Genomic DNA, 14,397 nt, shown 5'->3' on the forward strand with positions numbered 1-14,397 from the left:
ATTAATTTTGTACAATATATTGTTAACATTTTAAAGAATGTTTTTTAAATGCTTTCTCTCTGTGTTATTCTTTTAAGTTACAGTAGCATCCTAATGACTGATATTGATTAAATGAAGAGGAAAATTTTAATTCTGTAGTGCTCACTCTAAATTAAATAAAACTATTTACAGTCTAGGCAGTCTAAGAGAATAAGGTAGAGGAAAAAAATAAAACAAGAGTCTTTTATTTGTATGAGAAGATATTCAGATGATTATTTTTATCATTGTGTGATGTTTCCAGATTCTTTGCAAAAACAAAATATGGGGAAAATTCTCATAGTAACTCCACTCTGAAGAGTTTTTCAGTGGAGATTCAAATTGCACTTAAACTGGAGTGGATAGAAAAGTCCGTGGCAGATGCGTTGCTGCTAACCACAGGCGTCCAGAGTGTTCTGACTACATTGGAAATCACTGTGGACAGAAAATTGTAAAAGACTGATCTTTTACTCATTCAGTGTACGTTATACCCAGGGTAGATGTAAGCTTTATAATTACTTATAGAATTTTATCTAATGGGCCTCAGGTGGTAGCTCATGCCTGTAATCCTAACCTTTTGGGAGGCTGAGGAGGGAGGATTGTTTGAGGCCAGCAGTTCAAGACGAGCAGGGCCAGCATAGTGAGACCTCAGCAGGAGGGGTTTAAATAAACTTACACTTGGCAAATACCCCTTTCTCTTTTGCTTGTTGCTGGGCCCTTCATTGGCCAGCCTGTCCTTCCTCATCATTGCACCAAACTTTTGTAACAATTAGAGTCATAAGACATGAGATAATGGGTAATTTAGAGAGATAATTAAACCAGTTGCTTGCTTTGACCTCTAACATTAAAACCCAAAGGAATTCAGATGATCTACAACTCAAAATAAGAATTTTGTGCAATTCATGATGGAGATGTATATATACAGATATAATAATAGCTTTAGTGAGATAATTTACATAGCTTAGAGTTCACCAATGTATACAAATCCGTGGTTTTTAATGTATTTACAGAGTTGTATAACCATTATGATAATCACAGATGACTACATATTATATGTAACTGGGGTGAAGGCTCCAGCTGATCATCACCAAGCATTGTTCCTCTGCCTTGCTTTGCCCTCTGCCTAACCCCTGGAAACTGGTGAAAGGGTGGTCCTGTTGTTCTCCCAGCACCAGATACGTTATCAGACGGGCCTGGGACTGTAGGTGATGAATGAATATATATTCACATATATGTATATACAGATACATTTACAGACAGAAAAATGTTCCACTTCCTCTCAAAGTTACAGTCAGTTGACAACTTTACTGGGTAAAATGTTAAGTGGCAAAAATGTTGAGAAGAAATATCCCTTTTCTGCATTTCCCTCAGACATTCTGGAGGAAAAATGCACCCAGCGCACATTCATATTTAGTATTTTCTGCAGGTAATTATTCATTTTAAATATTTAAAAAATTTTCTCCATTTGTAATTTTTGTGGGTACATAGTAGGTGTATATATTTATGGGGAATGTGTGATGTTTTGATCCAGGCATGCAATGTGAAACAAGCAGGCACAGAAAGACAAGCATCACATGTTCTCACTTTCTTGTGGGATCTAAAAATCCAAACAATTGAACTCATGAATATAGAGAATAGATGGAGGATTGCCATTTTAAATATTTCTTACACACATAACTCATTTTATGTGACGTGAGGATTTATGCTTAGGTTAATTCTGAATTATGATCTTTATTTACTTATTTGGAAATATTAGATGCTATTAGCTTTGATTTCAAAATATCAGAAGCTATCTTTCAAAGAGTTCTTTCCAGTTGTGCCTGCTTAATTTTATTTTTGAGGAAATTTAAGTTCCTATGTCAATGTAAGGTTGTCTAATATTACCAACATTTTTTGGTAATATTATCACTTTTTCCATGTGATAATGGGAAGATTTTTTTCTTATTGTGATAGGTTAGTCAGAAAAAATTTTTTCATCTTTCAAAAGGATAGCTGACCACCAGTTCATTCTTAAAATATTAGTTCAAATACTGCATAGATTTGAACTAAATATCTAATGGAGAGTCCTCATCATTGCACCAAACATAGTACTTATGTTCTATTTACCAGTTCAACACTAGCAAATCTAACTGCACAGTCAATAATAAAACAAAATAAGATAATTTTTAAATATAGAAAATAGAAAATCTACAAAATAACCTTGAAAATTAACAGAAAGTTTGTCATTAGCATTTATTTCATAATGAATCTCCTTTCAGATAAAACTCGTATTTATTTATTCATAAACAAAGAATTATCATTATTGAAATTTTTGTCTAGAAGTGTACTTTTCTATCATTGTTATTGTGTGTTTCTTCTCAAAGTATCAACTAATATTCTCCTAAATGAGAATTAAGTTCTCTCCAAGGATATAAAACAGAGGTTGAATGGACTTTGGAGTCAGATGGAACTAAGTACAAATTCCAACTGTAGTGCTCACTACCTGTGTGATGTGTACATATAAGGTATTTGACTTCTCTATGCCCTAGAATTCTCATCTGTACAGTAGAATTTCTATAAAGGGCAAAACAATAAATATTTATTAAATGTCTAGAAAATAGGAGAGGTTAGGTACATAAATCACCATTACCATATGGAGTGGATAGGTGCCTCAGATGTATGCAGAATAGAAAGGTTCTGTTTTAGATCTTCATTTACTTTTTTATTCAACAGACAGTTATTGAGTGCCTACTATTTATCTGGCACTAATCTAGGCCCCAGAAGACAAGAGTAAAGAAGTCAGCTCTGGTGCTTCTCCTTTTTTGAGGTTTTTCAATATATTTACATGAGAATAGCTCTTTTTTTCAGTTTTTTTAAAGATAAGATATAAAATATCTTGGCTCATTTTGTAAACTATTTTATCTAAGGTAATATTTTACCTGCCCTATTATCCATAGTATCTAACAGTTTATCAACTGTTCAGAGCACCAAGTCGGATTCAGGAAAGAATATGGGCTTTGAAAACAGACAGAGGGTGTGTGAATCCCAATTCTGCCTTGTGAGCTTGAACAAGTTGCTGAATTGTTTTAAACTACTATTTCCCTATCTATCAATTAGGTATAACAATAACCATTCAATAGTTTTGTAAGGTCTAAGAGCAATGATGTAGTAAAACATAATGTCTGACTTATATTAGTTTTTTAATCAATGGTAGCTGTTATAATTATTTATTAAAATACCTGTTTTAATTATTTATTAAAATACCATTATACCATTTTAATAAGTGGTAGTTGTTATAATTATTTATTAAAATACCTATGATTTTTATCATTTTTAACAACATGGGTAATTGTTAATTAAAACTCATAGGAAGTATATAGCATATCATAGCAACAAATATTAATTTCTGCTCTTTATTTCCTTGCCATAGTCTTCAAAGCCCAGGACACCATCAGTCCTGTGACCTATAAAGCATTTCCTGAAGGGGTAATCTGATTTGGAGAAATATAGAAACAACAAAGGTAACACAATGCTGATATAGAATGATATAAATAATATAGAAGTAACAGTGACAAATATATATTGAGTGCATATCATTTGCTGGTACTTGTTCTAATATAGTATCACTATCTCTTCATTCCCATCTAAGGTCACTCTAAAGCCTGCAATCTTGAAGACTGTACTCTAATGATCTCTAACAAAAGAGGTGACATCCTAGACTGAGAATTGTAAGTGGCCCATCAGAATGTTTGCTGAGCCAGATCCAGTAACAGTGGAGAGAAAAAAAAAATAGCACAGGTCTCTGGAAAATTGATCTCCCATTTGAGCAGTCTAATTCTGCATTAGTTGTTCAGAAATATAATCTTAATAAAAGGTATGAGAAGTGGTATTTTTTGTCATTCTTAAATCATCCTTTGAAAATAATTGCCTTTCAAGATTGAACTCCCTTCAGAATAATAAAGGCAAACTTTTAACAGGTTAAAAAGACATAGAATCATTATATTCCTTTTCAATAGAACTATTAAGCATTTCTTTAGAATAAAACAACTCATTAAAAAGGGCACACTGTCCTTTTATACACCAATTTAATCATCTAATCAGTTTAGTGTCCCAAAAAGTATGTAAATACTACTTAATTTACTAGTGAAGTTGGCTTATGGAAATTACTACTTAGCATGATTGCCTCTGGATAAAGAACAAACAGGTAGGGAAAAAAACATCGATTTAATAAGGTCGTTTCACCCTTCTGGAGTGAGACTATCAAAAACATGTCTAGACTAGTAAATGATGCAACTGAGCAAAGATTCTTAAAAAGCATTCCAATTATCATTTAAAAAGTCCAGAGTTTCCTGGGTTCTTTAAATAACCAATCCTTAGAGGGTCGATAAAGCTTACCAAAATATCAGCATTTTAAATTAGTCTCTTACCCTTTTCAAATGCTCCTGTATTTTGGACTCCACATCTTGGATGTGTGAAATCATTTTGTTGACACAAGGTGCTGGAATATTTACTACGGCACAGCTGTGACGTCGACATGGGTAGCTAAAGTAAATGCCTTTATTCACCCCTAAAGAGAACAAATAGAAGTTCATTACTCATTCTATACAAAGTAGTAAATTTTGATGTTCAGAATAAGCAAAAAAATTCTGCTTTATTAGTGCTAATACTCTTAGTTTCCTTAATAGAGAGGCTGAGAAATCTGTCAGAAAATTATAGAACAAATCTTTAAAAAACGTACAAGCTAAAATAAAATAATCATTTATGATTTAATTCTGTAACAAATAAAAATGAACCCGAGAAGCCAAAATAAAACTTCAAGCAAAGTTGAAAAACATAGCATTGTGAACTAAACATAGGAAAAAATGAAGGAAAAAAAGGCAGAAAAAACAGTTGACCCATGTGTTACTAAACAGATTCTGAATCTCTTAAAAATAACTTTGAAATATATTTTAAATATTCCCTTCAAAGAGATGCTCTCTTTCAATGTAAATAATATCCAACTACTCATGCATTGAAGTTCTTCCTTAAATCCAGCATGAGTTTCTCTTGCTGAAAAAAATAAAAGCAGGTCTCCTTCATCCTCATAATAACCTCATTTTCTACCTTCCATTTCTGAAAATTGGAGTCTCATACGAAGAGTGATTAATGTTCTCACTATAGTATTCAAGCTGTACTCATCATAAAATCCACTCAGTCCGATGTGCCTCAGTGATTCTAATCCTAGCATGTCCCAAATCGACTGAAGGTTGCAGAAGCACAGCAAAGTTGTCCATGAAACTCCACCAAAGTGCTTACTTGCAGTCCTTTTGACTCTAAGGACTCTATTGGGCTGGATTATAGTTGCAATCACTGATCTTAAATGGGAGACACAAAATATGCTCAGCGCCTCAATGAGAACAGTGTGATGTCCTCATTTCAATTGACCTTGAGGGAACAGAGAAATAATCCTGTTGCGTTTTGTTTCAATGCCAACCCACAGAGATGGTAAATATTTTTGGTATCTTCATTTAAACTGCAATCTTTTAAATATCTTTTAAATGAAGCCTTATAATATCTTCCTCTAGAAACACAATCTCTTGTAAAAATGGCATGTTTCATTTATAAATAAAAGTGTTCAGTCTATTCTACAATGTTCGACTCTCTCTCATATATGTGTGTGTGTGTATATATGTGTATATATATATAAATGACCTTTTTATGAGCACTAAAAATATGTGCCAGACATAAAGCTAAGCTAAAAATTTTTGATGCCACATTTTTTTAATCCCCACAACAATCTTATAAAATGGGATTATTATCTTGATTTCATAGATGAGGAAATCAAGGCTTAAATAAATTATATAACTTGTCTAAGTCTACGGAACAGGTAGGTAGGAGAACTGAGACTTGAACTAAATCTCCCTGGTTATGGAGTATAAGCTGTGAAGGCTGTTTTTATATTTTAAAAGTATGGCAAAATAAAGAGAAACAGTACTAAAAATATATTTCAGGGCATCCTGAATGTTTTGCTTGTTTTTACATTTTGAATGCTCCTTCATAATATCAGTGCTGGTATCCTATGTCTTTTAGTTTGCTTTGACCATACTCTGAACACATATACTTGCTATAACTATTTTTTGTATGTTACAGTCCATCTTTCCTCTTTAGTTCATAAACATATATACACACACACACACACACACACACACACACACACATATGTAATAGTCAAAAGACCAAAAGAACAATCTAGTAAAAATTGCATATTGATCTCCTATCCAAATATCTTGATAAGGGCATGTTGGCCCTCCCTTTAGAAATAAGAAGGTTTTGATACACATTTAACAAACAAGCAGTCACTGTTACAGTCAAAACATTTGTTTTGCTTCATTAAATTTGGTGAAAACAAGAATAGTAATGATTCCTTTTATATTTTTCTTGACTGTGCCACTCTCAACCTATTTTGTGAATACTAATAATTTCCATAGCACTCCTATGGTTTAGGTTGAATATGTAACATATGGTAAAGTAATGGGAATCACGTACTATGAACTTAAATTTGCACTAAAATCTGTAAAAGACATGACATCCTAAGTAGCACAAGATTGAACCAAAATTCAGTGGTTCATGTTACTCTTTTTATTTCATTGCAAGCATGGCATAAGTTAAAACTTTCAGTTTTTAAGAATTCTACTCAGTTTAGGGTGACAGCATGATATAATCAAAAGACAGCTGAACTAGGTGTCTGTATTTTCTTGACTGAACTGATAACTAGCTGCACATCTTTAGCTAAAATGATTCAGTCTTTAGGTCTCAGATTTCTTATTTAATAAATTAATGTATTGGTAGGATGTTATATAAGATATTTTTCACCTAAAATTCCAAACATAAATCGAGGGAGCTCCTCCTTGTGAAGCCTGTGCACAAATGGTCAGTGTGAGTATATTAAGAATTAAGCTCGGCGAGACTTTCATCCTCTCTAAACATGCCCCTGACTCCAACTTCCTTGCCCAGAATTAATGCATAAAAGACAAGATCCTCCTGGCTCCAAGCCAGAGTTGAGGTTTGCTGAGACTCTGCAACATGAAACTTCCATTTGAGAAAAAATATCAACTAGTTGTTTGTGTGGGCAAATGAAATAGAAAGACTATGTTTATAAACTTTCAACTCTTACTGCTCAATGAATTTGATCCTTATATAATTTATTCACCCAGCTCCAATAATTCAACATTTTATCACAAGAGTCCTTCCTTTTCTTCTGCTTTGTATATGCACTTCCTTTATGTACGTTACCCCAATTATTCTATCATCCCTTTATCTCAACTCAGAACGCTTAGGAAAAACTCTGCTGAAGGCATATTTCCTTTTCACATTGTTATCCCTTTTAACATCTTGATTTTCTTTCCAAAATGTAACATAAGTCAGTGCTCTTGAGGTTAAAAATAATTTGTCCTCCATGCAAAGACTCTTTCATGATGAACATAAAGCATCTTTAATCTTTTATGGAAAACAAAGATCTCTTTAGCTTTTGTTATACATGAGAAAAATAAAAACACCTTTCACTGACATTAGAGTTATCACATTTTCATTGGACCTTAAACTGTTGGAGACACTTATCACTAAATATCTAGAATAATACACATGGACTCTCAGAGTCAGAAGTGGCTAAAAACTGCTTCTACTCTAACTTTAGTCAATGTGCAATGCCGCTGTTTGGTGTTCACTTACTGCCATTTTCTTCTCTTCAAAATCTACAACTTCAATACAATTTTTTTTTACTTGCCTTGTATGCTCACAGGTCTCCCCACTACCTTGCCTGACCACTTCCTATAGCTATTATTCTATATCAAATTTTGCTTTCACTAGCAATTTTTTGAATGAACTGTTTATACTGGCAGCTGCAATATCCTCATCTGATCTCTTCTTCAAATTACAATTTATATACAAATATTAAGATCCATCTTACAAGGTTCCTTGCCTGTGCGGAATACTCAGCTCTTTCAGACATTTGAGTGCAGCTATAGCACTTTTCATTTCTCTTTATAAGAATGGATCACATTGCACTCTGCTGTTATCACATTTATGTTTTCCTATCTATCTTCCCCATGAAGTTCTTTCCAGAGAACAATATTAAGTGCCTTAAATAATTATTGAATAAATGAATAAACAAATCCTCTATCATTTTTTAAACTTTTTACCTGGCTGTAATCTGATTTTTGTTCTCTCCATGAAAAATTCATTCTTACATCCCACTAAGCAGTATATCAACTACCATCCATGAAGGAGTAACTGATGTGGAATTAGTTCTCCAGTTATAAGCAACTCTAAATCTGGATTTTAAAATATGAGACAACTGATTTTGGACTTTGAAAAATGGGCAGTTCAAGGTTTTCATTTCTGAGAAAAGGGAAATTGATAAGGTGGAGTCCCACAATCACCAAGCTCTCTGCCAAGGGACAGTTTCCCAACTGCAATAAAGAGATCTGGGAGAAAAACAGAGCACAGTGATCCCGCTGAGTTGAAAAGTAAATATGAGTTTCGTGGACAGTGGAAACATCTGGAAGAGGGCAGGAACTCAAGAAGACAGAGCAATGCAGAGAAGAGCCTCAGAAACCCACGTGGGAGGCCCCTCTGACATATGGCATAGAATCCCTGACCAATAACTTCTACCCAGAATGTGCAGAGAAAATTCACAACTTAATATTCAGAAAATAGGCATAAGACTTGGACTCTTCACAAAAGACAATATACAAATGACTATTGCAATGTGAAAAGATGCTTAACATCATTAGTCATAGTCATCAAGAAAATGCACATTTAACTAACAGTTCAATACAACTTCACACACACACTATAATGCCTAAAATTATAAAGGTTTGCAATGCCCAGTATCAGAGAGGATATAGAACAACTAGAATTTATACATTGCTAGTGGAAATGTAAAATTGTTTAAACACTTTGGAAAACAATTTGGCAATTTCTTATAAAAGTTAAACTTACCATATTACTCAGCATTCCTCTTCTTTATATTTCCCCATGACAAATAAAAATATGTCCACAAAAAGAATTGTAGGTGAATGTTCATAATAGCTTTCTTGATGATAGTCAAAAATTGAAAAAATCTCAAATTTCCATTAAAGGCTAAATAAATTGTGCAATATTATACAAGGGAATGGTATTGATCAATAAAAATGAACAAACTACTGATATATGAAACAGCATGGATGAATATTACAGACATTTTCCTGAGTCTGAAAAAGTTGGGCACAAAGGAGTACAAGTGGCATAATTTCATTTATTTGAAATGTTACAGTGGTAAAACTAAAATCATACTGGAGTTGTGGGAGTGAGTTAAAGTAATCTTGTCTGTAGAGGGGGCACGAATGAACTTTCTGGAAAGATGGAAATTTCTATACAGTGTTTGGGGTGGTGGTTAAATGGATGTGTGTGTTTGTCAAAAGTCATTCACTTATACACTGTAAATGAGTGGATTGTATTGCATTTAAATTGTACCTCCATATATCTGTTTTATAAAAAAGACCACTAAGCATATCCTAGTGGCAGAACTCAATAACCTTGTATCGTTCTCCTACTTTAACTTTTTATACTAAAAAACATTGTAGACAGTCCTTCCTTGAAATGTTCTTTTAATAACTTTCTCTAGCTTCCTGTTCACCTATTTTTTCTCATATTCCTTAAATATGACTATTTGATAAGAAATAATCTTTTCCTCTACACTTTCTCCTTTGATCATCTCCTTTAAGTGCTTAACTCTTAACTAAACAGCTTTAGACTTAACCTTGCCCTGAGCTCCTTGCAAAAATGTACAAATTTCCCAAATCTGTCCTTCCTAGACTCCCATCCTGGCATTGAGAGTAAGGAAGGGAGGTCTGGGCCTGCAGAATCCTATGCAGAATGGGAGAAGCATGATAGATAAAACTAAAATGTACCCATTGAGAAGTTGATATACCACAAACAAGGAAATACATTCACAACAGTAAATTAAAATGCCAAAGCAGAAAGGCTACGGAAGAAAAGGGACACATTTGTATGATCAGACATAGAGCTGGAAGGGATAAAGGAGGCATCCATGGGAGCTTCAAGATGGAAGAGATCTGATACAGTACAAGCAGTGAAAATGATGCCTGGTACAGAGGATCCTCAGAAATGATTTGAAAAGTAAAAGAACTGTTATTAGTGGAAGGTATCCAAGTTACTGGTGGCAAATCTGTACTGGTCCACAGCAACTTCAATTCTTGCCTCCTCAGACAAAATAATTTGACTGAGAAGCATAAGGCAGAAGGACAGACCAAGGCAAATTTCAGAACAGGAGTGAAAGTTTTATTAAAAAGCTTTAGGACAGTAAGGAAAGGAAGGAAAGAAAAGAAGAAAAGTACAACTTGGATAACGGCCAAGCGGGTGACTTGAGAAACCAAGTGCGCAGCTTGACTTATGGACTTGGGTTTTTATACGTTGGCATACTTCCAAGATACTGCATTACTTCTCCCCACTCCTGAGATTTTATCTGGAAGCTGCTGATGAGTTTAAGGTGTTTTCTATTAGGAGACTGCCTTTCTCTGGCACTGGCTGTGAGCAGTTATTACTTTAGATAAACAGTTAACAACTGCTTGACCATCACCTGATGGTCACCCAACACTCCTGGTGTGTTGGGGGAGGGGCGGGGAGGGCGTGAGCAGGAGGGGAGAGCCCTTTTTTGCCCTGCTCATACCTGAGAGGCTACCTACTGTAACAAAATGATAAGAAAGTAAAGATGTTCCAAAATAAAACTTTTAATTAGCCTTCCCTCTGTCCCCAATCTGTTTGGATTCTTGTTTTCCTTTTTTATAATTTTGACTTTCATTTTAGATTCAGGGAATGCATATGCAGGTTTGTTACACAGGTATATGGTGTAATGCTGAGGTTTGGGGTATGATTGCTTCTGTCACCCAGGTATTGAGCATAGTACATAATGGTTAGTTTTTTAACCTTTGGCCCCCTCCCTCTCTCCTCCCTATAGTAATCCCTAGTGTCTATTGATGCCATCTTTATGTCCATGAGTACCCATTGTTTAGCTCCCACTTATAAGTGAGAACGTGAAATATTTGGTTTTCTGTTCCTGTGCTAACCTACTTAGGATAATGGCTTCCAGTTGCATCCATGTTGCTGCAGATAACTTGATTTCATTCTTTTTTATGGCAGTATAGTATTTCATGGTGTATATGCACCACATTTTCTTTATCCAATCCACCATTGATGGACACCTAGATTGATTCTATGTCTTTGCTATTGCAAATAATGCTGTGATGAACAAATGAGTGCGTTGTCTTTTTGGTAGAATGATTTATTTTCTTTTGGATATATATCCAGCAACAGGATTGCTGGGTTGAATGCTAGTTCAGCTCTTAGTTATTAGACAAATCTCAAAACTGCTTTCCATAGTGGCTAAACTAATTTACATTCCCACCAACAGTGTATAACAATTCTCTTTTCTCTGCAGAGTTGTCAGCATCTGTTGTTTTTGGCTTTTTAGTAATAGCCATTCTGACTGGTATGAGATGCTATCTCATTGTGGTTTTCATTTGCATTTCTCTAATGATTAGTGATGTTGAACATTTTTTCACATGCTTGTTGGCCATGTGTATGTTTTCTTTTGAAAAGTGTTTATGTCTTTTGCCCACTTCTTAATAGGGTTGTTTTAAGCTTGTAAATTTTTTTAAGTTCCTTAGAGATTTGGGATATTAGGCTTTTGTCAGATGCATAGTTTGTGAATATTTTCTCCCATTCTGTAGGTTGCCTGTTTACTCTGTTGATAGTTTCTTTTGCTGTCCAAAAGACTTTTAGATTAATTAAATCCCACTTGTCAATGTTTTGTTTTGTTGTAATTGCTTTTCAGGACTTAGTCACAAATTCTCTCCCAAGACTGATACCCAGAATGGTGTTTCCTAGGTTCTCTTTTAGGATTCTTATCATTTGTTTGAGGTCTTACATTTAAATCATTAGTCTATTTTAAGTTAATTTTTGTATACGGTGAAAGGGAGGGGTCCAATTTCAATCTTCTGCCTATGGCTAGCTAGCTGTCTCAGCACCATTTACTGAATAGGGAATGCTTTCCCCATTGCTTATGTTTGTTGACTTTGACAAAAATGAGATGGATGCAGGTGTGAGGTTTTACTTCTAGGTTCTCCATTCTTTTCCATTGATCTATATATCCATTTTTGTACCAGGACCATGCTGTTTTAGTTACTGTAGCCATGTAGTATAAAGACAGGTACAATGATGCCTCCAGCTTTGTTCTTTTTGGTTAGAATTGCTTAGACTGTTTCAGTTCTTCTTTGGTTCTGTATGAATTTTAAAATAGTTCTTTTTCCAGTTCTGTAAAAAATGACATTGGTAACTTTATAGAAATAGCGTTGAATATGTAGATTGCTTTGAGCCATACGGCCATTTAATCGGCATTGATTCTTTCAATCCATGAGCACGGAATATTTTTCCATTTGTCTGTGTCATCTATGATTTCTTTCAGCAGTGTTTTGTAGTTCTCCCTGTAGAGAGCTTTCACCTCCTGGTTAGAGGCATTCTTAGATACTTTATTATTTTGTGACTATTGGAAATGGAACTGCATTCTTGATTTGGCTTTCAGCGTGAACATTCTTGGTATACAGAATTGCTGCTGAATTTTGTACATTAATTTTGTACTGTGAAATTTTACTGCTTATGAGTTCTAGAAGCCTTTTGGTAGGGTCTTTAGGGTTTTCTAGGTATACAATCATATTGTCAGCAAAGGGACAATGACTTCTTTTTGACATCTTCCTGTTTGGATGCCTTTTATTTCTTTCTCTCACCTGATTGCTATGGCAAGGACTTCCAATACTATGTTGAATAGTAGTCAGAATGGGCATGCTCATCTTCTTCCAGTTCTAAAGGGGAATGCTTCCAGTTTTGCTCATTCAGTATGATGCTGGCTGTGGGTCTGTCATAGATGGCTCTCATTATTTTGAGGTATATTCATTTTATGCCCTGTTTCTTGAACATTTTTATCATGAAGTGATGTTGGATTTTATCAAAAGGTTTTTCGACATCTATTGAGATGATCATAATGTTTTTGTTTTTAATTCAACTTATGTGGTGAATTACTTTATTGATTTGTATATGTTGAACCAAACTTGCATCCCAGGAATAAAGCCTTACTTGATCATGGTGAATTAACTTTTTGATGTGCTGCTGGATTCAGTTTGCTAGTATTTTGTTGAGGATTTTAGTATTTATGTTCATCAAGGATATTGGCCTGTTGTTTTCTTTTTTCATTGTGTCTTTGCAAGGTTTTGGTATCAGGGTGATGTTGGCTTTGTAGAATTAGTTTGGGAGGAGTCTTTCCACTTTGATATTTTGTAATAGTTTCAGTAGGATTAGTTTCTTCTCATCTGGAGATGCTGGCAACTCTAAATTTTGTAAATATTTTCATGCAGGTAGGATTTTTTCTTTTTATTTCTTTGCCGTATATATATATATTTCCATATATATATAATATATATATTTCCATATATATATAATATATATATTTCCATATATATAATATATATATTTCCATATATATAATATATATATATTTCCATATATATATATATCTTTCCATTTCCCTAATCCCCTCCCTAGGAGTGTGATTGTAGAGAATGGTGTGTAGGGTCTTTTGGTTTTGGTTCTATAGCGCTATGCACCTCTGTTAGCAGGTTTTCTATTAGGCTGTGCAATTCAACCTACAAGCCAATAGATGCCACTTATGCGTGGCAGCCAGCTGTGGCCAACGTTGCTGGGTATACACTTGATTCTTGTTTACTGGGAGAAGCTCTTTTTTTGCTTTATGCAATAGGATGATTCCTGGAGTATACAGTCTGAGTTCCCTCTAGATGGGCAGGACACTCTGGCAGGTCCACCTATAGGTCCCCCAGTGGCCAGAATAAGCACTAGAACTGAGGGAGAATCCAATAGGCAGCCTCTAGGTACCCAGAGGTGTGCCTAGACAGGGAGCAGGAAACATCCTCATTCCTAAGTTCTCCGCAAGGTGATGGAGGGTGGCTTAAACTCCAACTCTAGGTGATTGGGTGTTCCAGATGTCTGAAGATCTGCCTTTGCATGGAGCAAAGTGAACCCCCAAACAACAAGATCTCTGCACAAGAAAGGTAGGGTGGATCAGGCTGCTGTTCCAGGTGAGTGGGTGCTCCAAATGCCTGGAGATCTGCCTATGTGCAGAGTAGTGAGAGCCCTACTGCACCATGATCTATGCATGGGAAGGGTAGTACAACTCAGGCTGCTAATCCAGGTGAGGGTGTATTTTGAATGCCTGGAGAACTGGCTGGGTGTGGAGCAGAGAGGGCCCCACTGTACCACAATGTATATCTATAAAGAGAAGGCCAGCTTAGGCTGCTG

At 35.0% G+C, this 14,397-nt stretch overlaps 1 protein-coding gene across 9 annotated transcripts in view; it reads right to left on the reverse strand.

The window, feature by feature from the left end:
* CCDC178 (coiled-coil domain containing 178) overlaps positions 1-14,397 on the reverse strand; it is a 503,635-nt gene that overhangs the window by 428,223 nt on the left and 61,015 nt on the right. For 8 of the 9 annotated variants that reach the window (NM_001371120.1, NM_198995.3, XM_011525951.2 and 5 more), the window contains exon 6: positions 4,422-4,561. In NM_001371120.1, the coding sequence (NP_001358049.1) occupies positions 4,422-4,561 (140 nt within the window). Of the gene's footprint in view, positions 1-4,421; positions 4,562-14,397 lie in introns of those variants that run through there. The other variant, XM_017025724.2, reaches the window with a different exon arrangement.

This window comes from Homo sapiens, chromosome 18 (genome assembly GCF_000001405.40).
Source record: "Homo sapiens chromosome 18, GRCh38.p14 Primary Assembly".
Taxonomy (NCBI): domain Eukaryota; kingdom Metazoa; phylum Chordata; class Mammalia; order Primates; family Hominidae; genus Homo; species Homo sapiens.